Below are 20,859 nucleotides of genomic sequence, written 5' to 3' on the forward strand. Positions count from 1 at the left end.
TCTCTGGGACAAGCCTCATTATCTCCAAGAAAGTCACTGCATTCCGGGGGAGCAGGAGTGCGGACCTGGACTGACGCTTCCACCCTGCAACTCTTTCTGTGGGGGCACGCTGTGAAAACTGGCATTCCGAGAGAAACAGCCAGGCCCTGGCGCTGGCACCGTGGTGTGTCTGTAAGGGCCCCTCCTGAGGGTCTAAGCAGGAGAGGCGTCTGCCCCTGAGGAGGCCCCTTCCTTGGAAGCCCACTAGGTGCAATTACCAACCAATGCCGTCAGCCCTCGGGCCACATGCCAGCAGGGATCCTGCAGACCACATTTCACAGAAAACCCCAAATCTGTGTATGCTGGTGAACAGCTGAAAATGAGTTCTCAGAAACACACACACACACACACACACACACAAGCTGATGCACAGTGTGTGCCAATTTCTGTGTTGTAAACAGTCCTGCCATGGCCAACGGGGGAGGTAAGGGCTATCACTGAGGACTGTGCAGCCCTGCCTGTGATCGCAAACGCCTGAACAGTGAGGAAAACACCCAGAGTCCCAGAGGCCTCAGGGGAGTGTTAATGAGGAGGTAGGGCGACCCCTGAGGGGGGCTCTGGGGCATCTGCTGGCCAACGTTATGTTCATTAAAGGATTCCACAGCTGCTGGGAAGCCAGGTGTCCCTTCCACAGCCTCTAGCAGCCCACTTCACCCCAGGATCTCAGAGTCCCCAGCCATGATAGGGAGGGCTCAGAAAGAGAATCACAGCCCCCGGGGGACTTCTCTGTCTGCGTTTTCTCACATGGGCAAGACTCTCCAGCCAGCCCTGGACTCGCTGACAAGGATTTGTAACTCCACGTAAGTCTATCAACTCAGATGCCACTTCCTCCAGGAAGACCACCTGGCCTTTCCAGGAGGAGGATGCACACGCACCCTGGTGTGACCCCATCTCAGGCCTGGTGACCCTGGATTTTGATCACTTGTGGACCCGCCTCCTGCAGAGACTACAGCAGAACTGTTCAGGGAGCTTGGGCAACAGAAAAGAATAGAATGGCCTCATCAGCACAAACAGTTTGAAGGATGACGGGGACAAATGTTCATGAGAGGGTTGAGGTACGCCATGGACTGCCTTGGATTTAAGGCCACTTTAGTACCAGCAGTAGGGAGCCACTGAAGGTTCTGGAGTAGGGCAATGGTGTGACTTGAATGGTGCTTTAGCAGGGTTAGTGTGGTGATCCTGTGTGACCTGGAAGGACTTGGATGTAAGGAAGCTGAGCCGTGGAGAGGTTGAGACGAGAGGAGAAGAGGAGGAGGGTGGAGCTGGTGGAGATGGCGGGAAGGCACCAGCTGTCAGGATTTGCTATCACGGAGGTCATGATGAGGCTGGGATTGGAGGTCATGGTGAGGCTGGGGTTGGAGGTCATGGTGAGGATGGGGTCGGAGGAAAGGGAGGGTGGACTTCACTCCATCACTGGACTCCAGATTGCATGGGGCCTCTGGATTTGCCAATAGAAGCACTCACAGGGTGACGAGGCCACTCTGTGGGCAAGACCCATCACTGTCTACACCTGCCGTCAACATGGGGACACCAAGGTGCAGCTGGGGAGAGCTCCTGGTGGGAGAAGAACCTGGGTCGTGACTGCACGTGAGCCATGGGGTCTAACAGAATCCAACCCCACAAGGAGGGAGGCCGGGGGAGGGTGGCAAACAGGAGACAGGGCTAGAGGCAAGGAAGGACCTGAGGCCTCCGAGGATAACAGCGGCTAAAGACGAGGACGGGGGGCTAGAGATGAGGACTGAGGGCTAGAGATGAGGACAGAGGACGGGGGGCTAGAGACGAGGACGGGGCGGCTGAAAGATCTCGCAGGGAGAGGCTGGGATGAGGCGGTGGGCTGCCAGGTGCTGCTGCAGCCACAGTGAGGGAATCTGAGGGCTGGGTCGGGCCATGGGAGTGGAGGGGAGATGGGAGGAGGCGGAGGTGGGTGGCCCCTGCACCTGAGGTGGCCCGCACACCCTGCGTCCTGGGAGGTCCCTGAGGGTCCTCGGCTTGTGTGTGTGTTTGTATTAACAGCAGCACAAAACCAGCCTCTTCCATATCATCACATGGTTTACAAAGACTATGAAATAAAAATAAAGATGATGTGTCTCTGGGAGACGGGGTGAGACACTGGATGCTGAGAATGTTAGTATCGAGTCTGTCACTGAGGTCAAAGCCATCTTTTATGCTGCTCACTCAGGAACTGTGGGGTCCCTCATGATCGATACCGGAGGGAAAGATCCCGGGAATTCTCGGGTCACAGGAGAACGCTCAAAACGTGCTGTCAACCAGAGGGGCCTCCTTGTTGGAATGAGTTAACACTCTGGTAATTTGGGCCTTTAGAAAGTGAAATAATATCACTAATAATGACGCCACCACCCAGCATTTATACGCACCTTTTTGCTTTCCAAGAACTTAAAGCACCTCACGTGTACCTTTCTTCTAGATCTAAAAGTGTATATTAGGGAGTTTGGGAAAACGCATTTTTGCTACTCCTAACCACAATACCCCCGTTTCCATAGTAACAAACAGGAAAACGAGGAAATAGGGACCCCAAACCCGGAAGCCTGGCTCAGGTCACAGACACGTGACAGGACGGGATCCAATATGCTGCTGCCAGGGTTGGACATTTGTCATAAGACACTTGAGGTGTGTGCAAGTTGTGCTGTCTAGTAAAGTAGAAACACTGAGAGCAGTAGGCAGGTGTCTGCGGGGTCGGAGAGGAAGGGCGCCATCGGGGAGGAGGCAGAAGGCGCGGATCCCGCCCGGCACACTGAGCACGCTGCCTGCCAGTAAGACGGGGCCTCTGTCCTGCCTGCCTGCCCCAGAGGACTGCGAGGTCAAACAAAACAATGAATATGAAAGCTCTACGTACTTTAAACAAACACGTGTTATTCATCATCATATTGTAAACCATCACAAATGTAGGACTATGCTAAAATAGTGCGGGAACAATGGCTTGCCTGGAAATGTCGTTTGTCCTCACTTTTTCCGAGATATCAGCATGACCACATACACATGCGGAGGTGAGCTGGCCATGCTAAACTCACTGAGCAGCGGCTTACCGATTATCACCTGGTCAAACGTAAACACAGCGAGGGATACGTTCCGGTAAGATGGATCTAAATTGAATCGGAAGTTATGTTCTACATGAAACTTTTCCATTATTTTTGGTATGATTCATGAAATAGATCTTCATGAATTTTCATCTAATGGAAACATTTCTGTTTTAGTATTTGGCCATGAGTAGAATAGAACAGAATAATTTGGGGGGTTATAAGGACGCACATGTTGGTTTGGTGTTCAACTCCTTCATTCTACAGTTCAGGCCTGAAGTCGAGAGAGCATAGCAGGTGTTCACAGACCACGCCATTATCTCATTCAAATTTACTTCATGGGAACATTCAGCTGCTCTGACGGAAGGGGGCTGCGTGTGTCACACAGCACACTTTGTGGCAGCACAAGCATCACGCTGTGAACCACAGCGACTGGGCTGCCTTTGCTCACCCTCAGCTCAGTGCGCACCAGGCCACTCTTCTGTCTTTTGATCCGTGCAGCAGCCCAGGCACCTGATGGGGTCATGGGAGAAGTGCGTTGAGTCGTGGGTGGGGCATGGGCCTCGACTTCTCTTCAGTGGAAAGTCTATTTGTGTGTCTTCTCCAGGAGATGAAAGAGTCACTGTCACGGCCCCTCCTTACCCCCTCCTCCCCCAATCTACTTAGTATGCCCAGAATATCCGGATGGATTTATATAGGTGCCCTCTCCTGTAAATCTTGTAACGGTGGCATTCTTCATTCTCTGATCAGGTTCAGGAGAAAATTTCCACCACCGAACACCCTGCTGTTACAAATTCCCTCCGACCACGTCCCCGGGACGCTCCTGGATGCCCCTTCCTGCCCCTGAAGGGAGAGATTGTGGCCTTATCAGATGCAAGGCAGAGGATGAAGATTTTGTAAATTTTACTGTTACATAAAAATGAGCATTATCCCTTTCTTAAAGTGCTCCTACAATGGGAACACTCGTAAATAAAAGTTTATAAAATAAGACATATTTTTATTAATGTTTCCACATCATCATGTTCTGTGATTCCATCTGACTCACCTCTTTTAGAATCCACTCAGTTAACATTTATAGAGCTCTCCTCAAACCTAAGGCCAGCAAGACAACTGGACTGGGGGCTGCCGTGTCTCCCCAGCACACGCATGGCAGCTTGTGTTGACATCGGCAAATCACAAGGCATTGAAACGAAGCTCATCTTAGAAAACCAAGGCCACACGTGGCACTTGTGGAGAGTGGGTTTTCCACACTTCCCACGGCCACAGAACATCGTTCTGAGCCTCACATGGGTGTCACAGGCCTCCCTGGGACCTGCTGGACCTCCCAGGGAGTGGCCTCTTCAGATCTACCGTCCCTGCAGACATGAGAGCCAGCCCCGTTCCAAGGTGAGTCACAAGTAATGTCCCGCGGGTGACGAGGTGCTCACATTTGTGGGTGATTTATATTTGCATGAATTAAGCTGTATGTAATATTGTGCAAGAATAACACTCACTCACTCTGACTCACACTGGTGCTTCCCAATCATCTTTCTAGACTGAGAGAGTCATGGTGCTTCAGCCAGATGTCCTGGGACTGGGTGTAGCCCATAACCTGCCCATCTGCACGGTAAATGTGCAAACACCATCACTCACCATGTGGGGGCAGGGAAGCCGTCTCCGCAGACAGCGAGGGAAGCTTCCGCCCAGCCATGGGGCACAGCTGTCAACGTGGCCCAGAGACCAGCATCCCCGCTTGCTCCATCCTCCTGAGGTCCATCATGCCCGTTTCCCCATCTTCATGTGGTAAATTCACGTGATGGCGATGGGTTGACTATGTCATAACAGACACACAGATGATGCCCTTGGAAAAGATACAAACCCAAGCATGCAACCATCCCTGTTAGTCTCACTTTGCTTCTGTGGGCCAGATGAGCTCAATGTTGATTCACTCTAGGACAATGGCCCCTCTCAGTTGAAGAAAGACGATTTTGTTGCCAGAGAAATCTCCTAGCATAAGGAAATTAGAAATGTCTTCTCATTTTTAATAAATCCCAAAGTCCACACCATATTCTACATGTATACAGGAAGCAATGTGAGTTACTGTTACAGCCTTAGTCCTACGTGTATACAGGAAGCAATGTGAGTTACTGTTACAGCCTTAGTCCTATGTGTATACAGGAAGCAATGTGAGTTACTGTTGCAGCCTTAGTCCTACCTGTATACAGGAAGCAATGTGAGTTACTGTCCTAGCCTTAGTCCTACATGTATACAGGAAGCAATGTGAGTTACTGTTGCAGCCTTAGTCCTACCTGTATACAGGAAGCAATGTGAGTTACTGTCCTAGCCTTAGTCCTACGTGTATACAGGAAGCAATGTGAGTTACTGTTACAGCCTTAGTCCTACGTGTATACAGGAAGCAATGTGAGTTACTGTTACAGCCTTAGTCCTACGTGTATACAGGAAGCAATGTGAGTTACTGTTACAGCCTTAGTCCTACGTGTATACAGGAAGCAATGTGAGTTACTGTCATAGCCTTAGTCCTACGTGTATACAGGAAGCAATGTGAGTTACTGTTACAGCCTTAGTCCTATGTGTATACAGGAAGCAATGTGAGTTACTGTTACAGCCTTAGTCCTATGTGTATACAGGAAGCAATGTGAGTTACTGTTACAGCCTTAGTCCTATGTGTATACAGGAAGCAATGTGAGTTACTGTTACAGCCTTAGTCCTATGTGTATACAGGAAGCAATGTGAGTTACTGTTACAGCCTTAGTCCTATGTGTATACAGGAAGCAATGTGAGTTACTGTTACAGCCTTAGTCCTATGTGTATACAGGAAGCAATGTGAGTTACTGTTACAGCCTTAGTCCTACGTGTATACAGGAAGCAATGTGAGTTACTGTTACAGCCTTAGTCCTACGTGTATACAGGAAGCAATGTGAGTTACTGTTACAGCCTTAGTCCTATGTGTATACAGGAAGCAATGTGAGTTACTGTTACAGCCTTAGTTCTATGTGTATACAGGAAGCAATGTGAGTTACTGTTACAGCCTTAGTTCTATGTGTATACAGGAAGCAATGTGAGTTACTGTTACAGTCTTAGTTCTATGTGTCTACAGGAAGCAATGTGAATTACTGTTGTAGCCTTAATGTGTCCGGCTTCCTGCGTACTTTCAGGCTGCTCCTGGAGACACTTTTTCTCTCTTCTTCCCTTGGGCTTCCCAGAACCTGGCCACTCTCTTCAGTTGTCGCAGCTGCAGTCGCACAGAGAGGAAAAGGCCAACCGTTGACAGGTTCTGCACCCGCTTCTGCCTTGCTTTCCTCATCAGAAGGGAGACGGAAGTGAGATGCCTAGGATGGCCGACATTCTCCTTGCTGTGCACCTGTACCCAGCTGAGCCCCTGGCCCTTCTCCCTGACTCGCGGACACTCTCCAGAGCTGCTTGCACGCTTCCTGAGGCCGTCTGCCCTAGAGTAGCCCACCTGGCCTCTCGTGAGCCTCTCCAGGTTCCTGGGCTGGGTCACAATGCTTCTTTGAACTCTCAGACCCAGCCACCCCAGCTCCGATGCTTTGTTCTTCTTCCACCTGGGAAACTCCTGTTTCTGCCTCAAGACCCTGCAAAGCCTGCCCTCTCTCAGGAGCTCTTTCTGCCAGCCCTGGTGCCTCCACATGCCTAGACCGCCCTCCACCCCTACACGCTGTGCAAGCCTGTGTGTCTGCGCTCACTGTCCTGTGTGGTCCCGGCAGCTGTCCTCACCCGGGCCTCATGGTATTTGGAGGAACGGTCTTCATCTCCAGCTCTGTGCTTTGGGGACTCGTGCAGGGGCTGGAAGTCAGGAGTTCATAAATGCTTGTTGGATAAAGTACTGAGTAGAACGTCCTGGCGAGTGACAAGGGTCACTGACCCACAACTGTGACTCCCAACCCGCAAATTCCCGGGCTCTCGAGATTCAGCAGCCCATAGTGCGTGGAGGTGCTGGAGCATGACTTTGATAAAATTGCTGTACTCGTGTGTATAAGACACGAAAGCCGAGGCCTGGCTGATCTGCGTCCTCCCCCGTCAGGGCTGTGCAGGCCTCGGTGCGAACGCTGCAGCTCCATCAGCAGCCATGACTCTCACAGCTGCACAGGGGACCCTGGTGGTCCATCGATGGGGTCCTCAAACGTCAGAGACATCAATAAAAGAATTAATTGCATTTTAATTATTTTTTAAAAACCTCATCATTTTCCTGAAGCCGGAAACGATGGCTCTGCCTGTCCCTTGGTTTACAGGCCTGCTAAGGAAGGCGCCGACGTCCCTCCGAGAAGCAAGCTGTCTTTCATGCCTCGCAGCCTCGCAGAGGACATGGAGCAGGCCACCCCCAAGGACTTCCAGAGACCAGCCAGCCCCGTCCACACCTGGACAAAGCTGAAAACAGCCAGGCGGACACACCGCCTTCCTTCCCCAGGCCCGTCGGTTACACCCGAAGAACCACCAGTCCGTCCAGAAAGCACCCAAGGGCCCACACCGCCAGGGGAGTCGGCGAGCGTTCACACTGCCAGGGGAGTCGGCTGCAGGCTGAAGTGCTGGGCACGTTGGGAAGGGGAGGTCTCTGTGAGAACACAGACACTGGAGGTCCTGAGTTGTGTCCTGACATCACAGTTCCCTGGGCCTTGTTCTCGGATTCCAGTCTTTCCTCCTCTTCGCAGCTCGGGTGTCTGTGTTGGGGATCCCCTGGAGAGTGCATTTCTGAGGGCACCGAGACCCTATGTGCAGTGGGAGGCTGCAGCTGATGCCCCCGGGGATTTCCTCCAGTGTTTCTTCTAGGGTCCCCCCACCCCTGTCATCCCATCTCATAGACGCCTCTAGGCGATGCCCACCGGGGGCTGCAGCTCCACCCGCAGCTGGGGGCCACATCAACATGACTGCGCCTCCCGCTGGCACCAGACACCACCACTCACCACTGCTTGCTTGAAAATAGCCCCAAAAGAACATAGATTCCAACATGTATTTCCATGAGAATAAAGGAAGTCTGAAAAATCCATGTAGAGTTACTTCGCACCATGTGAAAATCAATAAATGTGTGTCTGTGTGTAAGTGTGTCCAAGTGCATGTGAGTGTGTGCCTGTGTGTGCAAGTGCATGTGTGTGCATGTGTGTGAGTGCATGCAATTGCATGTGAGTTGTAAGACCATGTGTATGCATGTGAGTGTGTGTAAATGTGTGAGTGCATGTGTCTATGGGTGTGTGTGTAAGTGCATGTGTGTGAATGTGTGAGTGGATGAGTGTGTGTGAGTGCATGTGTAACTCCATGTGTGTATGTGAATGCCTGTGTGAGTCCATGAGTATGTGTTTGTGTGCCTGTGAGTGCATGTGTGTGTATGGGAGTGTGTGAGTGCATGTGTGTGCATATTACTGTGTAAGTGCATGTGTGTGCATCAGTGCATGTGTATGAGTCCGTGTGTGTGGCAGTGCATGTGTGAGTGTATGGATGTGCGTGAGTGCATGTGTGTGTGGTTGTGTGTGAGTGCATGTGTGAGTTTGTGTGTGAGTGCATGCATGAGTTTGTGTGTGAGTGCATGTGTGTGTTGCATATTTGTGGAGTGCATGTGTGTGTGAATGTGGGTGAGTGCAAGTGCATGTGTGAATGTGCTCGTGTGGGTGAAAGTGTGTGATTGTGTGAGTGCATGTTTGTGTGTGCATGTGTGTTTGTGTGTGCATGTGTCTAAGTGTTTCAGTGCATATGTGAGTGCATGTGTTAGTGTATGAATGCATGAGTGCATGATAGTGTGAGTGCATGTGTGTGCAAGTGAGTGGTTGTGAGTGCATGTGTGAATGTGTGTGCAGGTGTGTGTATGTGTGCCTTGTGTAAGTGCATGTGAGTGGATGTGTGAGTGTGCATGGGTGTGTAGAGGTGCATGTGTGTCTGTGAGTGCATGTGCGTGTGTGTGTCTGTGTATGAGCATGTGTGCATGAGCATCAGTGTGAATGCGTTTGGGAGTGTGTACATGTGTGAGTGCATGTGTGTGTCTGAGTGCATGTTCATGTGTGATTGAGAATGCGTGTGTGTGCGCAGGTGTATGAGTGCGTGTGTGTGACTGTGCATGTGAGTTCATGGTTGTGTGTGCCTGCGTGTGTGTGTGTGTGCATGTGTTTGTGGGTCCATGTGTGCCTGAGAGTGCGAGAGTGTGCATGTGTGTGCATATGTGAGTGCATGTGTAAGGGTGTTTGTGTGTGAGTGTGAGTTGTGCTTTCTCTTTTTTGAGATGGAGTCTTGCTCTGTCGCCAGGCTGGAGTGCAGTGGTGCCATCTCGGCTCACTGCAACCTCCACCTCGGGGGTTCAAGCCATTCTCCTGCCTCAGCCTCCAGAGTAGCTGGGATTACGGCGCTTGCCATCACGCCCGACTAATTTTTTGTATTTTTAGGAAAGACAGTGTTTCACCAGGTTGGCCAGGCTGGTTGTGAATTCCTGACCTCGGGTGATCCGCCCACCTCAGCCTCCCAAAGTGCTGGGATTACAAGGATGAAATGTGTGTGTGTGTTTGTTTGTTTGTTTTTAATCTCACATCCCACATCCCGCAGTTTTTCCTCCTCGTCACAGGCCTGGCTACGTTGCGGCATTCATGATTTCCTTCATGAGCAGCGGCATTTCCCATCGGGTGGACAGGTGGGCCTGGGCTGCACCTTGTTCTGCTCTACTCGGAGCGGCCCCTCTGTCCCTGTGGCATCGCCTCTCGGCTCCCGGCCGGCTGGGCTCCCTGTGTCACCGACTCCCAGGAGAGGCTTCCGAGGCTGCTTTGCCTTCTCTCCAGGCCCGGCTGCGAGGGCTGCCTCGCCAGGGACGGGACAAACCCCGCAGAGGGGGCCGTGGGGAACCCTGAAGGGAACCGGGCAGGGCGGGAGAGACAGATGGCCTGAATTTCCCACCGATCGCCGAGCGGCACATTGGCCGGGGCAGTGATGGATGAAGAGTCCTTCAGCCTCAGTCCCATGGCGCGGGGCTTTGCGCAGATGCTCAGCGGGGGCCACCGGCCTGGCTTTGCTGAAACACGGGAAGGGCCCCCAGCCCTGGGTTCGCGCCCCTGCGAGGCGCTCCTTCCCTTGGCGCCTGGGGCCCGCGCGGCCGTTTCCCTCCCCGCACCCACCGCAGTGCAGACCCGGAGCCCAGGCCTCCTGCAGGCGGGTCACCTCCCTCTCAGTTCAGCTGGATCTTCCCGGTGCCTGACCGTGGCCACCCTCTCGGAAACTGTTTTAAAGTCACCTTCGGGTCCTTCCAGACCTGTTGTGCCTGTTGCAGGTCGGAAACGCAACCCGTCTGGAAGCGCAGGCCCCTTAGGGAGGCTGCAGGGCGCCCCGGCCGGCCTGGGGCTGGGGAGGGCGGCTGGGAAGGAGGCACCGAGCAGCACTTGGCCCCGGGCGGCGGCGAGGACAGAGGGAAGCCAGGGAGCGTCCGAGGGAACCACACCCGCGTGTGTCAGGGCCGCAGTGGAGGAGGCTGCAGGGAGCCCCCTAAGTGGGATTCAAGGTCGTGATTCCCAGGCACACGCTCCGTTACACGCCGGGTGGCACGGACATTGCCCGTCTGCCCTCTTCCGTGTCTCCATTGGAGTATGAGATCACACCACACAGCACACACCACACAGCACACACCACACAGCACACACACCACACAGCACACACCAGACACCACACAGCACACACCACACAGCACACACCACACCACACAGCACACACCAGACACACACCACACAGCACACACCACACAGCACACACCACACAGCACACACCACACCACACAGCACACACCACACAGCGCATAGCACACAGCACACCACACAGCACACACCACACAGCACACACACCACACACCAGACACACACCACACAGCACACACCACACAGCACACACCACACAGCACACACCACACAGCGCATAGCACACACTACACAGCACACACCACACCACACAGCACACACCACACTGCACACACCACACACCACACACCATAGACCACCCACACACCACACACACCCCACACCACACACCACACACCACACACTACCCACACACCACCCACACACCACACACACACCACACACCACACACCACCCACACAGCACACACCACACACCACCCACACACCACACACCACACCACACACACCACACACACCACACACCACAGCACACACCATGCCACACACCACACACCACACCCCACACCACACACCACCCACATACCACACAGCATTTTCTGGACTGGCAGTGACTCCGGCCTTTCCTGCAGGTTCTTCCCAGGAGCAGGCCTGGCCTCACCGCCGCCGAAACCAGACCCAGCACAAGCCAGTGCATGCAAGGGGATGTTGATTTCACATTTCCTCTCTGAATCCATTAATATTTTATGAGGCCACACAGAGGGTTCTTGCACTAGATGTTTCTCTCTCTTTTTAATCATGTAATGTGCTATAAAGCATGATATATTGACAAGAGGGAAGGGAAACCAAAGTTTGTTTAGCTCAGAGGGGGGAAAGCCAAACACACATTTTGAAGATTACAACAGACATCCCTGAGGCTGAAGGGTCGCTCAGGTCATTTGACGTCTTGACAAACGAGTCTGTTCTCTTCTGGTTTCACAGCTGGAGTTGTGGGCACGTCCCAGCAAAGGGACACCGTTCACAGAAATAGCATAACCTTCCCAGCACGGGTGCCCCAGCCTCCAGCCAGACCACAGGCCAGCTCCTTTCTGAGACCAGAGGCCAGCACTGTTCTCAAAAGAGGGAAGGGTAAGCAGCCCCCAAAGCTGACCATGAATACTCCAAACACGTCGTCCAGTCTCCTCTCTCTCCTCAGCCCCCAGGCTCCAGCCGCCCCTCTGCAGTACCTCCTGGTATCCCAGATTCCAAACTGGATGGTCCTCAAGGGCTGCCGTGACTCCCCTCTCCGGCCTCACCACTCACCCGCTCATGGGGGAGCGTGGGGACTGCTGGGAGCTCCAGAGGCATTTGCAGCACGGGAGAGCCAGTTCCCACTTCAGAGTGACTGCCACTGTCACGGGCACCGCCCCCTCGGTGCCAGGTGCATTACTGAAGAGTGAGGCCAGCCCCTAGTGTGGACAGTCCAGAGGGAGAGTAGAGTGAGCCCCGCCGTGTGCACAGTCCAGATGGGCAGTAAGGCCAGCTCCCCAGTGTAGAAAATCAAGATGATGAGTAAGTGGATTATCCAGTGTAGACAATCATGATAAGGAATAAGGTAAACTCCCCAGTGTAGACAGTCAAGATGAGTAGTAAGTAAACTAGTAAACTCCCAGTGTTGACACTGATGTGGGTAAGAAGATGAGTTCCCCGGTGTAGATAGATGAGATGGATATTAAGGTGAGCTCCCAGTGTAGACAGCTGGGATGGGGAGTAAGTGAGCTCCCACTGTAGACAGTCTAGGTGGGTAATAAGGTGAGCTCCCACTGTAGACAGTTGAAAATCTTGATTCATCATTTTTATTTAAAATGCAGAAATGCAGTAGATTCCCTGCATTAGTGAACAAGCATTTGTTGCTTTTGTGACTTGTGAACAGTGTCACACTTCTGAGACATGAAATAACAGGCCATTTGCTGATCCCATCTGAAGTGAGGTTGGCGTGTGAAAGTGTCTGAGCTACAGAATGGGTTGGCCAAGCCCCCTTCTGAGACATGAAATAACAGGCCATTTGCTGATCCCATGCGAAGTGAGGTTCTGTGTGAGAGAAAGTATCTGAGCTAGAGAATGGGTTGGCCAAGCCCCCTGCAGCTCAGTTCAGCGGGCTTTTTTCTTCTTTCCTCCTTGTCAGACATACATTTTACCAGTTAATTTAGAAACTGCAGGGATAGTCACCAATAAGAGGATTCCAAACTGTTAAGAATTAGAAAGTGAGGTTATATGGGAAACAAAACACGTCATTGTAACCACAGAGTGGCTCAAGTCTATGTAGGGTGAGAATGAATTTCAAATCCTTTCAAACACTGTGAGAAGCTGATCTTGATGTTCTTTTGAAGTTTTCAGCTGGCAGCGAGCTGAGCTGAGGCTGGCACGCCTCTCCTGGGTCCTGTCACGTGAAGAGGGGGAAGTCCTCCAAGGCTCCTGTGGACAGACAGCAGGGGCACTTTCCCAGCTAAAGCACGAGCTCTGGCATAGGTCTCTGCATCCAACTTGAATAGACCACATCAGCTTCTCCCCAGGTGATAGTTCCCCCAAGCAGAATGCACATTGCCAGAGTCCCTCCGCTAATTTGTACTCCTCTGTTGTGATAGGAAATGCGAGTTCCTTGGCTGGCATTCCTATTTCCCACCTTTTCCCTGATTTCCTTTGAAGTGGCGATATGCCCAGCTATCACCTTTATTTCCAGCCTGTCTCGCACCTAGGAATTTCCAAAAAATGTAATTTACAGTGATAGAGTGAAGTTTCCAATAAAGGAACTTGAATTTTGTGCCCCCTTTGCCTTTCTCTACATCTTTCTTCTTCTGACCTGGAATGTGAAAATGATGGCTAGAAGTCAGCAAGCATCTTGTGACCACAGGGTAACTTCGGGGAGAGAAAGCAAGGAGGCATTAAGGATGGCGGGACCGAGAGATTAAAGGAGCTTGGGATGTCGTGGACTTACCGCACCAGCCCTGAATTGCTTGTCTCCAGACTTCTCATGAGAAAAAAAAAATCTAATTTATTTAAACCATGATCATTTGGGGTCTCTACTACCCTACTACAGCCAAACACCATTTGTAAATGGCACATTGTACTTTTTAATCTTAAGAAAACAATGGACATATGTTTCACATTTCACCTTAATCATACAGCTGTAGCAACACCAGCCTGCAACATCTCATTATCTAAGGGCAGCTTCACTCTAATGAACTAATAGATACCAACGAGTGAATGTATCACTCCTGCTAATTAGTTGTTGTGTTTTCAAATAGGGTCTTCTGGAGTGATGACTTTACCTGTAGCAGTGAAATTTTGTCACTTGGCAGGCTAAGACAGATGCTGGGGTATATGAGTAATTTAGGTCTCATTAAGTCATAGTGTATAGGTGGCACCTTAGCTTTCTGTGTGCTGGCCCAGCCTTTAACCAAAACAGCTTAAAGACTGGGCCTTTAGAGGCTGAGTAAAGGCCCAGTTCTACCAAAAACGGTATACCCTACCCTGATTGCACTAGACAGGAAGATGCTACCTGAAGCAGGATGACTCACAGAGAATATAGCAGAGCAAAGGCAGAAGTGCAGACGAGTAGGATATGACTGGAATTTGAGGAACTACATTTCTCAAGTTATCACTGTCTGTCCAAGAGTTTTGACCACAAATTAATAGAGTTCCCTTTTTTTAATTGTGATTAACAAACATCAGACCAGCTTAAACATCAGTTAGACAGTCTATGCATAATGTGTACCTTTTCATCAGAAAGACGGTGCAGACACAGAAGGGCTGGAATCCATCAGGGTCAGCAACTGAGGAAGATGAATGGAAGAGCAGGGGAGTAATTTGCTGCCATCCATGAAAAATGCGCTGGCAGAGAGTCTCGGGGACTTGCCAAGCCCCCTTTTAGAGCGTTGTCCAACGCTAATTGTCACTCCAGATTTGATATTCACATTAGCCACAACAAGTGTTTCCAGTTTGGAATCCCTAAGAACTCTTCAAATATCTGGCATCCATGTGTTAAACAAAAATTTTCTTCTAGCTGAATTTGTTTATAAGTTATGAGTGGGACGTTAACAAAGCTTTCCGTTGACCAGCACAGCGCTCATTAACCAATAACAAAGGCTTAGCAGGCAGCGTATGATCTCAGGAGTCATTTAAAAATTAAAAGGGACAATAATGCTGATCTAAATGGTCAGTTTCCTTGCTCTCTGCAGAGACAGGTACTGTATCTGTTCTTAATTTGAAGAGTAGCCAGCTGGCTCCCCACTGAAATGTGATATTGTTATAAACAAACTAGCATCATAAAGCAATTGAGCAAGGAAGGCCCTCTGGAAGGAGGGGACTGCCTTTGAGTTATTCAGACAGATAAAGAGGGGCCAGGATTGCCCTGCGAAGCAAAGCAGGATGTGAAAAGCAGCTACGGCGGGGCTGTCAGGCAGCAATAGCAGCATCCAGCTGGTCTCCTTGCACACAGCAGCAGGTGTATTTATTATATCAAGAATCCAACTCCTCAGTGCACATTATAGGAGCCACCTCTTTCCATTAAATAACAACATAATCAATTGCATGAATCATGGCTGAAAGAAACGTTACCTTGCAAAGGTGGATGGTCTGGCAGAAATCTTGCCACCATTCTAAGGGGATTTAGAAAAACCTGTGAAGTTAGAGTAAGAGGAAGTTGAAATTCTATCAAGAACCTTCTATTTTTCACCCCAGCCTGAAGGCGGGGATGATAACCACAGACGTATAGTTGGCCTCTTAGGGCTGACGAAACAAGTGTGATGTTTGACAGTAATAGCAGTTACATAATTCACTTCCTACTTAAGTTTTTAATAGTACTTGGGCACACACACATGAGTAATGGAGGAAAGAAAAAATTGGGTGAGCCTAATTTCTCATAGCAATCTCCACACAGCTGGATGTTTCTCAAATATTTTAAAGTGTTTTGATCAGTTAAAAAGATTTAAAGCATTATTTTCTCAGAAATTCTGACAAAATGTTTCTACGAAATTAACTAGTTGTTCTAAATTACATATTATTTCATTAATTGCCAATACAGGTTATATTTTTAAAGCAAAATCACATTAACAATCCTTTCATGTAAGAATCTTCCATTTCCAAAATTCTTTGGTAATGTAACTTGCAAAATAATCTGTATCCTCTCAGCTTTCAAACTTCTGTCTATTGGGCTGTTCATCCAAATAAGTGTAAATTAATTAGATCCATAATTCCACATTAATTTTGCAATTACAATGAAAAATATTACAATACCACCTTTTGTGTAGTAATTTAAGCTTCAGGTGTGAGTTTATTGTTCCTCAAAATGGGCCAGGAGAGGAAAATAAAGGAGCTAGGACCAGGCACACAATTTTCCTGCCTTGGAGGGCACAGGTGCTGGAGAAAGTGGCCCAGGAGCAGAGGGTGACTGTTGAGGGCCACAGGTGAGCAGATGAGACGGGCATCCAAGGGAGTAGCCAGCAGCATGTTGATTCCGGCCAGAGAGTACCAGGGAGATTCAGCTGGATGGAGCAGCGTCCACAGGGTGGTCTCTACAGTTGGAATCCACACAGGTCCCAGTACCTGGGCCTGGGAACCAGGACTCTGAGCTGTCGAGAGGTGAACTTGACGACGGCACGAAGAGCATGGGCCACGCCCGAGTCCGTGAGGTCAGGACCCTGTGGAGGAGGCTGGGAAGGGTGGCAGGGGTTTCCCCAGGAACCAGTGCGGAAGGCAAGTGTGGACATCCCCAGGACAGGACCCTCAGTGGTCAGGGGGCTGAGTCTCGTTCCTACCACAGCCCTCCTCAGCGTGTGCAATGCCTAGGAGGGGGTGGCCATGTCTTTGTGGGTGCTCAGCAGGTGCCTGGTGCGCAGATGACAGAACGTGGAGTGGAGCAGAGTCAGAAAGGGGCCTGAGGGAGGTGCGCGTGGCCTTGGCACATGGAGTCACGCACCAGGGCAGGAGACCGCATCAGCACCCTTAGAGCCGCGGGCAGCCAGCACTCCTGGAGTGCCACTGGGTCCACAATGATATCCTGGGCGTCCACTTAGTGCTAAGCCCCACGGAACCCAGGATCAGGCTAACAGGTACTGAGTCTTCCAGGGTACTTTTTCCCAATCACAAAATGGTTCAGGGTCTGAATCAAGTAGAACCCGATGGCAGGAGGTGCAGAAGTGCACCTGAGAACGTGGGTGGAGGCTCATCTGTTGCGTCTAATATGATCTGTGTAACATAAATGAAAAGCATAGTCAATTTTTCAAATCGACAATCCAATATTTAGGGACTTGCAGGGTGAATGAATTTAAATCCACATTCAAAATAAGATAATTAGTCTCTCTTACTTGATGAATGATACTATCGTCAAGTGATATCTTTCTGTCACGAGTTTCGGACCAATAGCCCAAAATGAAAATTATCCAATAAAACGTGAAAATTCAGCATTCTGCTACACAAAGTTATTTGAGATGGGACCATAAATCTTTTGCTAAAAGATGCCAAGCCCGAGGCTCAACTTTGCTGCAGAGAACGCGCTCATTCAGTGTTCACCATGTCTTCTCAGCCAGCACTGCTCCGCCCGCAAACAGCATCAGAGTCAAAAATGTGGAGACCAGCCCAGAAGGTCAGGCACATTCCAGGTATCAACCTACTTCCAGTGGCTGATGAGCCCTGGCCCTTAAACCGCCAACCCTCCAAATCCCAGGGTTTCCATCCTGCACCCCCAAGCCTCACCTGGCAGAACACCACAGGACCCCCTGTGTACCAGGATGGACAGCCTGGCTTCTAGCCCTCCTGCCGGCATCCTCAGGGGCTCAGACCAAGGCCACGTGACCACTCTTGTAAGCACCTGGGCTGAGCAGATCTTCCCACGGGCCTCATCACAACCCGTGGTGGGAACACAGGCCCAGACCTCAGCACCTCAGGGGTAGGCGGCGAGACCACACGTCCACACCAGGCCCAGACCTCAGCGCCTCGGGGGCGGGCGGCGAGACCACACGTCCACACCAGGCCCAGACCTCAGCGCCTCGGGGGCAGGCGGCGAGACCACACATCCACACCACACCCAACACTCAGCCTGCCAGGCTGGCCTGGGCGCCATGTGGCTGATGGGCACCCACAGTGAGCACGGTGATATGCTCCTCTCTTGCCTGGAAGGCTTTAGACGCTGCTCCTCCTCAGCGTCACACCAAGCCTGCTCAGAGGTGCTGAGAAATCCGGGGAGTCCCTGCAGGGAGGACACGCTTCTGACCCCTTGCTGGTCAGAAATGAAAATTAACCAATGAAATGTGAAAATTCGGCATTTTGTCATACGTGTGTTTACATATGTATATAAACACATGTGAAGATGAAGGGAAAGCAGGGTTGCTATGATAGCAAACAGATGAATAAAAATAAAACACACCATGTTCTCCATATTTTCATATTTTTCAATTATGAGACTTTACATTCACTTCTGAAACTTTTTAAGACAAAATTTAAAATGGAAAATATCAATCCACTGTGAGTTAATTGCATGCGTTTTTGGCTTCTCCGGCACGTCAGCGGCATAATGTTCACCTCGCAGGAGGAGCTCGGCCTCAGAAGCTTCCTTCCTCTGGCTTCTCTCCTGGGGCGCGTGGGCTGGATCCCCCGTAAGGAGGCACTAAGGTCAGCAGGGCCCTGCGGCCAGGAGGTCTAGGTCCACGGTGAGATCAAGGCTGCGCTGTGTCCTTCTGAGGGGTACGTGTCCAGCGTCCCTGTCCATCTGAGCAAAGGGCGCTTGTGCCGTTGGTGGAATCCGTGACTGAAGGCCAAAGCACCTGCACCTGTGAAAACATCAGAACATGGACTTTTCCACGGCACTGACCATGGCACGAAACTAACTGTGTAGGGAGACAGTTAGAAACGACAAAGATGGTGCAGTGTGTGCTCAAGGTGGGGTTCAGCAAAGCATCTCAGCTTGCAGAGCAGCACCAGCTCAGAGCAGGGGCTCTGTGTGCCTTGTGGATATGAATGGATGGATGGACGGACGGATGGATAGATGGACAGACGAATGGAGAAGAGCTCCGCAGTTGAGGAAATGCGTGAGATGAGATGCAGCGTGGCCATGGGTTTCCCCACATTTTACTTCTACTCTGGGCTCTCCTGGACATCTTCCTTCACATAGAGGGTGTAAACTCGTTAACGCCGTCTCTGCTCCCTGTGTTTAGGACCTGGATGGTCTTTGCATGGCAACAAACCCTTTCCCTCTAAGCCAGGCCCACCCCAACAGCCCCCATCATCCAGCAGGACCCCCATCAGCCACCAGCCGCAGACGCCAGCCCCTCCTGTTCCCACATCCCCTGTTTGCCCTCCTGGCCTTGGGAGTTGGATCCAGCCCCAAATCCTTCATGGGACCCTTCAGGCCCTGCCACGGACAATTATAAAGGCCTCACCCGGCTGGCGTCTAGGAGCAGCCTCGGGAGAGCTGCGCTTTGGACTCCGGCCCCTGCTGGCCACACTCTTTCCACATCTGCATGCCTGCCCCCACACCTCCACTGGGGACCCCTTCTTAGGGGCTCAGTTGAGGGGCTTTTCTCCGTCCAAGCCAGTGCCTTTCCACTTCCTTCCCCAGCTCCAGGTCCGTGAGGGGCAGGAACCCATTGCTCAGGCTTCTTGGCAGTGAAAGGACTTCGTCTGTGCCATGTGCCCAGACCCTCAGCCAGTGTGGGTCTGTGGAGAAGAAGAGACATCAGGGCTGCTGCCCTTCTTGTTCACCACATGCCTACACCATCACAGAGAGGCCGGATGTTGACTTCCGTGACTCATAACCAAAACTACACACTCACCACCCAGTGCTCCACAGGCCCCTGGCCTGAACTGCAGATCCCAATTTCAGTGGCCACCATGCCTGTCTCAGTTTCAGCAACTCTGCAAGCAAGGACCCCATTTCTGAGCCCTGGGTCCTGCACAGGCCACATCCCAGGGTGAGATGTGCACCCTCCATGCCTGGGCAGAGGCTCCTGGTCCAGCCCTGCCCTGCTCCATCTGTGGTCCCCGCAGGAGCAGGAGGCGGAGGGAAGGACAAAGAGGCCTGGACCCCTGCACTGATTACTCTGAACTCGTACTTATGGGACCTGACCCACAGCAGCTTGCTTTCTCTTTCTTTCTTTCTTTTCTTTCTTTCTTTCTTTCTTTCTTTCTTTCTTTCTTTCTTTCTTTCTTTCTTCTTTCTTTCTTCTTTCTTTCTTTCTTTCTTTTTTGTACTGGAGAAGGAAACTTTTTGTTTGCTTAATCTTTCGTTTGTTTGTTTGCCTGTTTTAGGAACCCTGAATTAACAGAATGAAGAATAAGATAATGGAGGAGTTGGCATCGAGTCTCCCCCTGCCCAGCACATAAGCCAGGCTTGAGCCCCACAGGTAGAGGCAGAGAAGCCAGAAGCCTGGGGAACTGTGACTCTGAGAAACCAGTGCACTTGGCACTAGGAATACATCACGATCAAAATGAAAGGTAAAAATTAACAAATATAGAAGATTCACGCTCTAACAGGACTGAGCCCTTCCATGATCTCACTTAATCCTCACAACCCTGGAGGTCATTGCTCTCTTCAACCCTGTGGAGATGAGACAAGACACAGAGAGAGGTGCGCTAAGTTCCCCAAAGCCACGTAACTTGCTGCAGCACAGTCAAGATTTGAGTCCAGGCTCTTAAACTTCACATCAGGAGCTCTCAGCCATCACTTTAAGCCACCTTATTTGCATCTAAGAAGCAAGGATCTTGAGTCTTCTGATTCGGAATTGGGCGTGATCTTTACTGTGCTGCTTGGGGGGTCCAGTGTATGGTGCTCATTTGAGGATCAGGACTTTCTGTCTTCCAGGATTTCATCACCTGCCCATCTAATTACTCACAGACTGGTGGCTTGGAAGACAGTGGAAGAAGTATGCATGGCAGGGCAAGGTCAGGGCAGCCGCCAATGCCAACAAAGAGGAGAAGGAGGAAGAGCCAGAAATGTGGCCTCCTGACCATCTCAGCCATGAGAAACATAGCCCTGAAGACCAAAGCCAGGAGCACGGCTGTGAAGATCCACAGCTCGGAATACCATGACCATGAACATCACAACCACGATCACCACAGCCATGATCACCACAGCCATGAACACCACAACTACGATCTCCACAACCATGATCACCACATCCCTAAATACCATGACCATGA

At 51.0% G+C, this 20,859-nt stretch overlaps 1 long non-coding RNA gene across 1 annotated transcript, besides 3 other annotated features; it reads left to right on the forward strand.

Moving 5' to 3' along the window:
- Positions 3,899 to 5,098: an enhancer, noted in NCBI's record as "P300/CBP strongly-dependent group 1 enhancer chr18:76391650-76392849 (GRCh37/hg19 assembly coordinates)". NCBI's record gives its function as "activates an origin of replication core promoter dependent on BRD2, BRD4, P300/CBP, MED14 and CDK7 cofactors, with strong dependence on P300/CBP, by STARR-seq in HCT116 cells {active_cell/tissue: HCT116}" and the evidence as "EXISTENCE:reporter gene assay evidence [ECO:0000049][PMID:35650434]".
- LOC105372221 (uncharacterized) lies at positions 11,543 to 13,486 on the forward strand. The gene is made up of 2 exons (XR_935675.1): positions 11,543 to 11,814; positions 13,056 to 13,486. It is a non-coding gene; the product is annotated as an uncharacterized LOC105372221 (long non-coding RNA).
- Positions 12,060 to 12,560: an enhancer, noted in NCBI's record as "H3K4me1 hESC enhancer chr18:76399811-76400311 (GRCh37/hg19 assembly coordinates)". NCBI's record gives its function as "activates a minimal SCP1, AML or CMV promoter by ChIP-STARR-seq in primed H9 embryonic stem cells {active_cell/tissue: H9 hESC(primed)}" and the evidence as "EXISTENCE:reporter gene assay evidence [ECO:0000049][PMID:30033119]".
- Positions 19,060 to 20,259: an enhancer, noted in NCBI's record as "CDK7 strongly-dependent group 2 enhancer chr18:76406811-76408010 (GRCh37/hg19 assembly coordinates)". NCBI's record gives its function as "activates an origin of replication core promoter dependent on BRD2, BRD4, P300/CBP, MED14 and CDK7 cofactors, with strong dependence on CDK7, by STARR-seq in HCT116 cells {active_cell/tissue: HCT116}" and the evidence as "EXISTENCE:reporter gene assay evidence [ECO:0000049][PMID:35650434]".

This window comes from Homo sapiens, chromosome 18, assembly GCF_000001405.40.
Source record: "Homo sapiens chromosome 18, GRCh38.p14 Primary Assembly".
In the NCBI taxonomy this organism is placed as follows: Eukaryota; Metazoa; Chordata; class Mammalia; order Primates; family Hominidae; genus Homo; species Homo sapiens.